We start from the raw sequence: 12,461 nt of genomic DNA on the forward strand, positions 1-12,461 counted from the left end.
TCTATTAGGTCCGCTTGGTGCAGAGCTGAGTTCAATTCCTGGGTATCCTTTTTAACTTTCTGTCTCATTGATCTGTCTAAAAACTTCAACAATAGTATCCCAACTGTGGAAATTTTTTTTATGGAACTCTTATTTTAATTGAATGTGTGCATATTTTGTGCCAGTGAAATGAAATTGCAAAGTCCTATGATTTTGCTTCATCTAAATTTTGTGAAACACTAAAAATTATGTATAGACAAAATTATTTTACAGTATTTTCTTGTAAAAATATTTATCAAAGAAAGGTCCTCTTTGACAGAGGCAAAAACAAAGAACATAGCATATTTGAGATATACCATATATACTTTAATAAAATATATACTTTAATAAAAAATAGAAGTTAGATATCCTCCACTTAGAATTTTCTCTGATTTTCCTAAGTCCTGTGGCACTTATAGTATTTTTCTCACTTAAAAATATTATATCATAAGTATCCATTGAATATATCAGCAGTTCAAAATTAGTTTCATATTTTTAATATAGAATATGTGTTAATTTTATGAATAATTCCATTTTTGAAAAAAGTTTTGAATAAAATCTTTTCTAGATCCTTAATAAAGTCAAATCATCCATTGGAAAAATCTCTATTTCAAAAATTATTATTATTTCAATTATTTTCACCTCCTTTTCCTCTCCCAAATGTGTCCCAGTTTGGATTACAAATTATATGGTCACTTTAGTCAAAGGTGACATTAAGGATTTTGCCAGAACAACGAGATGGGTGGATTTGTCATGAGTTATGACGGGGAAGCTGGTGGATCTCCGGAGTGGTTTCATCATTGAAAAGAAGAGGGGTTCCGTTTTAGATATTCAATTTGGATGTCCACGTAGAGACGTTAAGTCAGCATTCAGATATACAAGTCTAGGCCTAATAAGGATATATGGGCAGAAGATGCAATTTTGAGAGTCACTGTTACGTAGATTTTTTCTCCCTGTGGATTGCCCAGTACAGATGTAGATTCATGCTATCCCAATTTGCCTGTACCTTTGTGATGTGACTTTGCCCCTCCTCCCATTAAGAGGTGAATTTTCATTAGCCTTGTGACTTGTTTTGACCAATAGACTGCGGCAGAAGTGATGCTATGACTTCTGAGGCTAAGTCTACATAGGCCCTTCAACTTTCCCTTTCACAGTCTTAGAACACTGCACTGAAATGCCATGTAAGGCAGCCTACCTGACATCTAGGAAGGTGAGAGACAATGAGGAGGAAAACCAAGGTAACCTAGCTGACAGGCAGCATCCACAGCCAAATCTGTTGTGTGAGGCCAGCTTGGACTTCCTGCCTACCTTCCTTCTAAATGCAGCTAAACAAGTGATCCAGGTGACACCAGGAGAAGAACCATCTAGTCAATTCACAGAAACATTAAAAGAAAAGTTGTTGTTTTACACTGTCAAGTTTTGGAATGGTTAGTTACACAGCAACAGAAAACTGATAAAGTATGTAAGCAATGAAATTGATTACAATGATTTAAAAGAGATGGATCAGGAAAGGATGAAGATCAAGGACTCAGCTCTGGCCCATTCCAATACGAATATTATAGCAAATATCTGTATTATATTAGTATATATCATATCTACACTATGTGAAAGCATGACTAAATCATTGGGAAAAAATATGTATTTGTAGTTAAGAATAGCCATGGGAGTGATCCTCTGTTATTACAAAACTGTTAAGCTGATGTGATGATTTATAGTGACAATGTAATCCTGTGTTTACCTATATGAGGCTTACAAATCCTAATATAGGATTAGAATTGTAAATATGGACTGCCCATGTTTACAAAAGGGTACACATGAAAGTTTTATTGAATACACACACACATATCAAAAATTTTCCAATGGCTAAACCATAGGGGGTATGTGTGTGCATGAGTATGAGCATGTGTGCATGTAGCCTATAAGAACTCTAGTGGGTAGCCAGGGATATAATGACAAAGACATGTGGCTTTATGCCATTATGAAGTGTTTGATTTAGTGAGGGATACAGATAATCAAATTGGCAATTACAATGCAAAGGGAAGTACAACTTGCTGTGGGAGGACATAGAGCACCTTAACCTTAGGTTTGTGAGAGGACCTACGTCAGAGAAGTTTCAGAATAAAATAATGTCTCAAGGTAGTCCTGGATAATACACAAATGCTAACTAGCCAGCCAGAGTCACGAGATGTGAAATCCTGAAGATGAGAGAAAGAGATCTTGGGTCTTCTAAGAACTCCAAGAAGCTGTGGTACATTGTGTGTGTGTTGGGGAGAGGTACGGGCATAGGAATACTGTGGAAGATATGGCTAGAAGTGGGAATCAAAAACCAGGCTACACTAAGCTGTGCTGTCAATTCAGACTTCAGCCTAAGATTTAAAGTTAGGGTTTCAGTGTAGCGGTAGGAGCAGAAACTAGAATACAGTCGATTGAGAAATGTTTAGAAGAAAAGAACAGGCACAAAGGTGGTCAACACTTTCAAAGTCTGTGGCTATCAAATGGGGGTGATAAAGAGAGGAGTGGCCAGAGAGAATATCATATCAGGAAGAGGATTTCTTTTTAGAAGTTAGGCAACACATGGACATGTTTAGTACTGATGGAAGGAAGGAAGCTCCAAGTAATGGGAGAGTTAAAGATACAGGAAAAGGAATTCTCTTCATTCATAAAGTGAGAACACTGAAAAGGTGAGAAGGACGGAGATCTGGAGCACAGGTAGAGAGATTAGCATTAGGCCATTAGTTAATATCCTAAAATGAGAGGGAGAGAAAGGAAGATAAGTGCCGGCAAATAAGCTGCTTTGGTTGCATGAAGTTGAGAAAGTTATATTAATAGGCGTCTATTTTCTCCTTGAAGTAGGAGGGTAGGACATATGCTGAGGGGTAAGAAGCAAACTGGCAGGAACAGAGGTTTAGGAAGAAGGGAGAAGGTTGGAAATAGCTGTTGCAAAGAACGAGGGTGAGGACTAATTAGGAAACAATAGCAGTCCAGTTGAGGTTAGATATCACAAATTTAAAGTAGAGTTGATCTGCTAGGTGCCTCATTAGTGATCAGCATTAGGGTATAAGTCCAAAGAAAACAGGAAGTTAAATTTAGTCAGAATTAGCTTTTTCCAGGTGGATTTTTTTAAAGGGTGATGGAGTCATATAACAAGCATGCTTTCCATATAAGGCAGATTAAGATAAAAGCCACGTAACACAATGTGGGTAAATATAGAGAAAAGACACAAGTCAGTATTGGCTGCATTTGTTAAATAGAACAGTGGAAATTTTCTAAGATACATGGGAAATGGCACAGGCATTCTAGGTAAGGAAAACTCATTTGTGATGGCTTGGGCATAAAGAGAACACAATGTTCCTACAGACAGGGTAAAGAGTTGCAGCAATGGCAGGTCCATGGTGAGCCACAGTGTGAACTATATTCAACAGGTAGGTGTGCCTAAGTCTAGTAAGCCTTAAATATGTGTGTGTGTGTGTATGTAAAAGTTTGGAGCTACTGAAAGTTGAAGTAAAGCAGTGATACACCATGGGTAGTAATAGTGAATAAATAACATACAACACATATACACACACATATACACACATTAACTTGTATCCTTTTATCAACATCACTATTGAAGTAGACACTGATGCTTTTACTTAATAGATGCCTACAAATATGAACAAAAATGTGATACCCATACAACTTACAAGATACCATGATCTAGTAAAAGTACTTTTGAAAACTCAATAAATGTTTTGGTTTCTGCAGAAGCCTAGTTTCTCTCAGTCCTTCAACAAATACTAAGTATCAGGTACTGTTCTAAGTAAGCTAAGAGCATGAAACAAACAGAAAAAGACATATATATCTTCTCTCAACAAGCTCAACTTTAATAGCAAAGATAGACAAAAATAGTAAAAATATATGTTATCCAATAATGTGGTACATCCTTTAGAAAAAAAAATAAAGCATGGAAGGGAAGTAGGCAGTGGCCAGGCCTGGAGGATATTTTACAATTTAATATCAGTGGTCAGAAAAAGCCTCACTGTGAAGTCAACATTTGAATAAAAGTTGTAGGATGCAGTGAAAAAAGCCATTGGACAATTTGAGATGACTGTAAGGACTTTGGCTTTTATTCTGAGTAAGGTCAGGGCATTAGTGTTTTTTGAGCTGAGGGGAAACATCTAATTTAAGTTTTAAAAAGAACCAACTTTTAGCAGCCGTACAGAGAATAGAGTGGGCAGGAGAGAATACAAATGGTGAAGTGAGCAGTAAGACTATTATAGTTATTCAAGTGAGTAGTGATGCTGCTTTACCCTGAAGGTAACACTGCTGTTGGGATAAGATGTTTGAATATGGATATATTCTGAAGATTATGCTTAAGGAATAAAGTATTTATCAAAGGGTAAAGCCAAGGATTACTCCAAAATTTTGGCTTGAGATAAAGGATGGATTTATCATTTACTAAAATGGGGAAGGCAGCAGGTTGGGGATGAAAATTAGGAGTTTACTTTGGGGCCTGTAAAGTCTGAGATGCTTATTAAATATTCAAATAGAGGGAGATATTGAGTAAGCAACTAGGTAAATGTATCTGGAATTAAGGAAAAAGTCCAGAGTAGGCTAGAGATATTAATCTTGGGTATGATTTCTTGTAGAGGAGTGTAAATAGAGCATAAAAGAGCTCTGATAAATGGGCTCCAGGGCCTTGCAAAGTGCAGTGGGAGATTGAGGAAAATAGCAGTGAGGTAGGAAGGCACAAAGAGGAAGGTGACATCCTGAAGCCAAGTGACAACAGGGTTTCCCAGGGAAGAGGATGATCAACTTTTTCATGCTACTGAGAGGTTGTGTCAGACGGTGGCTGAGATTTGACTGTTGCTTTTAGCCAAATGGATACTATTGCTAAAATTGACCAGAGCATATTATGTAGCGTGAGAGACTTATTGGTGTGGATCCAATACAAAATAAAGGAAGAATCGTTAGAGATAGCCCATATAATAGCTCTTTTGAGGAGTTTTGCTATAAAACAGTGCATATAAGAAATGAGGCATTAGCTTGAAAGGGACTTAAGAGTAGAAGTTTTAAAAGTTGTCATAAATTTCAGTACTTTTGAATACTTATAGAAATGATCTGGTATAGGAAGAAAAAGTCATGATGTGCAGGGAAGTAGAGACAAGCTAGTGTGATACCTTTGAGTAAGGAAGAGGGAATGAGATCTAAGGGACAAGTGTATAAATTGGTCTCAGACAACAGTATGGACACTGCATCCATAGTATCAGGCAGATAGAAGAGGTGTATGAATAAAGATGCAGGTAAGCCAGACTTGTGGTAGTGAGAAATTGTGGAAATTCCTGATTGGTTGAATTTTCTTAGTGAAATAGGAAGTGATTTATAAATTTAAAAATAATGGTATATTGGATACAATCAGATACAAAGAACCAAGAGCCCATTTGAGGTTTAGTCATCATGTATTAAAGGGTAGGTCAATTAGCAAGTCAAGTCATGGGTTGTTTTTGTTTGTTTGTTTTGAGATGGCGTCTCACTCTGTTGCCCAGGCTGGAGTGCAGTGGTGCGATCTCAGCTCACTGCAACCTCCACCTCCCTGGTTCAACAATTCCCATGCCTCAGCCTCCTGAGTAGCTGGGATTACAGGCGCACGCCACCACACCTGACTAATTTTTTTGTATTTTTAGTAGAGATAGAGATGGGGTTTCACCTTGTTGGCCACACTGGTCTCGAACTCCTGACATCAAGCAATCTGCCTGCCTCAGCCTCCCAAAGTGCCAGGATTGTAGGCATGAGCAACTGCGCCCAGCCTACTTTTTTCTATACACATTGACTTGTGTGATTTCAAGAATAGAATACTTAGGAATTTAGATGTAAGTGGGATTCAGATTTTGTCCAGTGAATATGATAAAGCCAGAGGACCCCAAGTGAATTGGAGATACATGCTATAAAGTGAATACATTTTCTCTTGGTAAGAATAGGGAGAACATGAGGTAGATGAAAGACAGGGAAAAGACTGTACAGTTGTTGAACTGTAGGTCCTAATGGGGCAGGAGAATTTTATTATTGCACTGACAATTACTGAGTTTTTATAGAACCGTTAACAGGTTAGCCAATGAGTGAAAGACTAATTTTTAAACTCAGGTATTAGTAAATGTCCTGATTTCATCACAAGAGAATTCTAAATCGAGTCAACTTCTGGTTCACCCAGGATTCCTTTTTCCCCAAAAGGAGAAATCTAGAAAGAATGTTCCAATTTTGTTTTATGTTAGGAAATAATATATTACCTCCTCAAGAGAGGAAATACCACATAAATTAAAAAGGGCATGGTTGTCACAAATACTTTCAAAGTTTAAAAACTTCTATTTCATAAATACTGGCAAACACTGCCTCTTAAAGATAAAATTATGGTTTTCAGTTTTTCTGTACTTCATCTCTTGTCTAGCTTTCCACCCCATATAGGTAGTACACACATGCATTTTATATGTGTTCAGGATACAGGGACTCCACCTATTCTTGACAACGTAAGTACAAAAGTTAATATAAGCTTATGGACACTACATAATAATGAGGGAGCCTAGGAAGTGGTACAAGGTGATAATTTTTACTGTCTGCTCACAACAGTGCAAATGTATGTCCTCCTGAAATTGATATGTAGAATCGAGCAATTCTGGGTCACAGTAGTCTTTTTCTCTGGGATGAGCATATGGTAAAAATCTTATAAAAGAATTTAGAAATTGAAAATTATTTTCCAGCAATTATGCAGAGGAATAAATATGAAAACCAGAGACATGTTATATGGTACTGACTTCTCAGCTTCTTTTTGCTGTGATTGACACACTCAGGTAAAAATCCCTACCATTCCCTCTGTATCACTTGACATCTACTTGAGGGCCTAGTAAAGCTGTGGGAAGTTTCATACACTTAATTTTCCTATTTATTTCTCTATTTTTTCCTCTTTTTATACAATACACTTGCCTTCACAGTCTTGGGCATTACTTCAGAAGTAAAATAAGTTGGATTCAGATATAAGATTAGCTGTAGGCACAAATATCAAGTAGGTATTTATTTTTGGTGACTACTCCTCGTAGAAACTTTGTACTCTTTGAAACAACTATAAAAACAAATAGGCAAAATGTATGAAATGACAGTTTTTGGAAATTAGGAAATAGGCAGGCAGGGCAGTGATCCATTAGAAAAGGGAAACAGGTAAGGAGAGCCCTATCACTGATGAACTTGCTGCAGAAAGGCAATTTTCAGGTCACAGGGCAGAATAGGAAATAAAGACCCACTATCTCACTGGGAGGAAGAGATAGAGTTCAGAGTTTGGGGAGCCCAAGGCAGCTAGAATTTACAAGGCACAGTACTAGAGAGAAGAGAGCTATGTAATAAGAGATCTAGAGATCTTTAGAGGCTTCTCCTTGAATATTCAGCACAATAAATGCAAATGAAGAAACTAGCAAGCCTGGGGCAACAATCACCAAAAAAGGAGCAGAGAAGACATGAATTTTCCTATCTTCATAGAGATATAAATAGGAAAATTCAGTGTATGAAACTTCCCACAGCTTTACTTCTAGGCCCTCAAGTAGATGTCAAGTGATACAGATGGAATGGTAGGGATTTTTACCTGGGTGTGTCAAACATCAGGAGCCCCACAGGCTAGAAAGTTTGATTTCCAAACAGAAAGATGGAAAGACCTCTAATACATAGGTCATTGAATAGGGTTCTCAAAATGGTAATGCCTCAAAAGTAGGCCAAATTAGTCCTAAACCAAGAGCTGCTCTGGAACTGCCTAACAAAGCATGAAAGCAAGCCTTGAAAGGATCAAACTGTTTCCAAATAACTATATCCCAGAACAAAGCCCCCAAATATTAAAAGAATAGAAAAAAAATCTACCTAAAAAAACAAACTTCACAATGCCTGCTATCCAATCAAAAATTTCCCAAAACCATGTACATCTTTTATGTATCCATAAAAGTAAATAATTACTATGCATGCAAAAACACAGGGAAATAGGACCCATAATAAGGAGAAGAGTCAATCACTAGTGACACCTGGAAATGACACAAATGATTGAATTCGAAGAACAAATAAATATAATAGCATTTATAAATATACTTTATGTGTTCAAGAAAGTAGACAGAATAGAGACAATTATACATGACACATGCGCACACACACATATATACATGCATATATAAATATATACATATAGATATCCAAATCACACTTGAGATGAAAAATATGCTAAAAGGGATTTACAGAAAATTAGACACTGCAAAGAACAGAGAAATCATCAAGAAACAGCAATATAAACTACACCAAATAAAATAGAGAAAGAAAAATAAAGCATCAGTGGCTTAGGAGACAACTAGAAGCAACCTAACATACATGTAATTGAAGTTTCAGAAGGAGAGGATGAGGAAGGGGAAGTTAGAAAAAAATATTCCAATAAATAATGGCTGAAACACTTGCAAGGTTCATAAAAACTATGAACACACAGATCCCAGAAGTTCAACAAAGCCCAAGTAGAAGAAACAGAAGAAAACTATACTCAGATACATCATGGTCAAACTGCTTAAAATAGATACAAGAACAAAATTCTAAAAGCAGCCAGAGCGGAAAGACACATTATATACAAAGGAATAAAGATAAGAATGACCATGAATTTTCCTTAAGAAATAATGCAATCTAGAAGACAACAGAATATTACCTATAAAATTCAGGGAGGAAAACTTTCAATCAAGGTAAAATATCCTTCAGAAAGTGAAAATGAAGACTTTTTAAGAAAGGTAAAAGCTGAGTAAATTTATCACCAGCAGCACCTGCTTATTTGTTATTTAAAAAAAAACAACCTCCAAGCATTCGGATAAAAATACTTGATAAAAATAAAAAGTCAGTAGAATTCATTATAATTATCAACTAAAGAAAAACCATATTATCATCTCAATAGATGTGGAAAATGTATTTGGCAAAAGTTCAACATCCACTTATGATTAAAAATCTCTTAGCAATGTAGAAATAGAAAAAATTGCTTCAGCCTGTTAAAAGTCCTCTACAAAAAAAAAAAAGGCACCATAGTTAATAAATATGGTTTGAATGTTTGCTCTTGTTATTGGGACTAGGACAAGAAGGTCTATTCTTACCACTTCTACTTGGTATTGTGCTGAAAGTCCTAACCAGTTCAATACAGCAAGAAAAAAAAAAAGACATTATAAGTGAAGGAATAAAGCCACCTTTATTCACAGACTACATGATCTTTTATGTGAATGATCCTAAGGGATCTTCAAAAATTTTTCAGATCTGATCCATTGGGTTAGCAAGGTGGCAGGACTCAAGGACAATATAAAAAAGTCAATTGTATTCCTATACATTGACAATAAACAAGAGGAAATTTAGATTGAAAAGCCAGTATTATTTAAACAAAAAAATATAAAACATTAGCAGATAATTTTGACAAAAAAGGAGCAAGACCTGTATAACAAAAACAAAATTTTGCTCAGATAAATTAACCAAGTGGCAATAAATAAAGGTGATACAACATTCTCATTGATTAGAAGACTCAATATTGTAAGATATCAATTCTCTCCAAATTGATCTATAGATTGAATGCAACCAAAACAAAATCCTGCCATTTATTTTAGAAATTAACATGGTGATTCTAATATTTATATAAAAATGCAAAAACAGAATAGCTAAAACAATTTTTAAACAGGACAATGATGGAGCACATACAATACCTGATTTCATGACTATTTATAATGCTACAATAATCAACAGACTGTGGCATAGCAGTAAGTAGACATGTGGATAAATGGAACAAAATAGAGAGTCCAGAGATAGAACCAGACATAAATGATCAATTCATTTTCAAAAGAGGCATAAGGCAATTCAATGCGAAAAGAACACTATATTTAAAAGATGGTGCTAGAACAATTTGATGACTCAATGGGAAAGTCAACCAACCAATCTTGACACTAATTTCATACAATATACAAAAAGTAAACTCTATCACAGAATTCTAAGTGCTGAAGCTGACATTTAAAGCAGACAATATAGGAAAACATATTTGGGACTTTGAGTTCGGCAAACATTTTCTAAATAGGACATAAAAAGCACAACCTATAAAAGAAAAAGTCAATGTTAGACTTCATTAAATTAAAACCTTTTGCTCTTTGAAAAACACTAAGAAAGTTACAGAGTGGGATAAAATGTTTGCACAACATATATAACCAAAGATTTGCATCTAGAATGTATATAGAATTCTTACAACTTTAAAGAGGCAAAAAATTCAATATAAAATGGGTGAAAGGTTTGAACAGGTACTTCATCAGAGGACATATGGAAGGCAAAAAAATCAAATAAAAAGATGCTTAACATCATTAGTCATTATAAAAATGCAAATTAATATCACAATATAACAGCTGTAAACATCCAGTAGAATCTCTTTTTTGGGCTATGTGGTCTTCTGTTGTTGTAGCATAAAGGTAACCACAGATAATACAAAAATGAATGAATATGTCTGTGTTGGGGTAAAATTTTATTCATATACTTTGTATATTTTATGGTTTACATTTTACAAATCTGAATTGTGAATATCTTTTACATTTACAAAACAGTTTTCCCCAACAATTTAAAAATATAAAAAGAGTATCTAATTCAGGGGCCATACAGAAACAGATTGCAGGCCAGATTTGGCCAATAGAACATAGTTTGCAGATCCCTGGTGTAGAGCAACACTGTTGTGGGAATTTAACAGTACAACCATTTTAAAAACAGTTGTGTATTTACCCAATAGACGAAGCATATAAACACATAACAGTTTGTACGTGAATGTTCATAGCAACTTTATTTGTAGTAGCCCCAAACTGAAAACAACTTAAATATCCATCAACGGGTGTTGGTATTAAAGTAACATTGTAATACTTTTTTTTTTTTTTTTTTTTTTTGGAGACAAAGTCTCACTCTGTCACCAGGCTGGAGTGCAGTTATGTGATCTCAGCTCACTGCAACCTCCTACACCCTGGTTCAAGCGTTTCTCCTGCCTCACCCTCCTGAGTAGCTGGGATTACAGGCATGCGCCACCACACCCAGCAATTTTTTTCTATTTTTAGTAGAGATGAGGTTTCACCATGTTGGCTAGGATTGTCTCCATCTCCTGACCTCATCAGGACATCCATCAACGGGTGATGGATATTCATGCCACAGAGTTTCCATTAAACTATCAATACACACAACATAGAATACATCTTAAAATAATTACGGTGAGTGAAAGGAGCCTATTTAAAAAAAAAAGAGTACAGGGTCATTTGCTCTTAAATAACAATATGACTTCATTTATGATAAATTCTACTTAATGGAAGTTCATCTATTGTGAAAAAAAGCAGAACAGTAGTTTCCTGGGCAGGTGAGAGAGAGATGGAATACAAAGGGCCACAAGGAAACATTTGTAAGAAATGTTCATTATTTTGGTTGTAGTGATGGTTTCTGAAGTGAATACATATATCAAAATCATCAAATTATATACTTTAAATATGCAAATTGCATTTTACATTCACTACAACTCACTGTAAGAAACAAACACGTCCTCAGAAACAACTTTATAAATTTTACTTTCTACTGTAAATGTAAGTTAATTATTACCCGTCTGGGACACTCGCTTTTTAAACTTTGCCTCTAATTACAGAACAGCGAGTTTTAATTTCTTCAATATGGCACCAGGTTTTAGCAAGTAGATGAGGATTATACCTGGAGAATCAAGCAAATAAGAGGCAAGCATAACGATATCTGAAGGAAGGAAGAAATATGTTGTAAGAGAAATATATATACCATTTACATGTTTACTTTTTTGACTATGAATAAAACCAGACTTCTAGGGAAGTGAGAATTTAAGATGGTCTCTCTTCCTTAGCAATTTTAAGATCAATTTGATTTCCCCATGTCTTAAGATTGCAAATGAGACAAGTTGTTGTCAATTATGCCAACTGGTGGGTAGAGAGTGAAGAATGTAAGTTGCACCACTGAAAATTCTAAGTGCTAAGTGAGAACTTAGAGGTAATCTAGCCCAGCTCATTCATTCTGAAGATAAGAAAACTGAGATAACAAGAAGGTAAAGTAACATTGTAATACTTCTTTTTTTTTTTTTTTTTTTTTTTGAGACAAAGTCTCACTCTGTCACCAGGCTGGAGTGCAGTTATGTGATCTCAGCTCACTGCAACCTCCTACTCCCTGGTTCAAGCGATTCTCCTGTCTCAGCCTCCTGAGTAGCTGGGATTACAGGCATGTGCCACCACACCCAGCAAATTTTTTGTATTTTTAGTAGAGATGGGGTTTCACCAGGTTGGCCAGGATTGTCTCCATCTCCTGACCTCATGACCCACTTGCCTCAGCCTCCCAAAGTGCTGGGATTACAGGCATGAGCCACGGCGCCCAGCCTGTAAAACCTTTTAATTAGTTTCTGTTATACA

The sequence above is a fragment of the Homo sapiens genome, chromosome 14, assembly GCF_000001405.40.
Source record: "Homo sapiens chromosome 14, GRCh38.p14 Primary Assembly".
Lineage (NCBI taxonomy): Eukaryota > Metazoa > Chordata > Mammalia > Primates > Hominidae > Homo > Homo sapiens.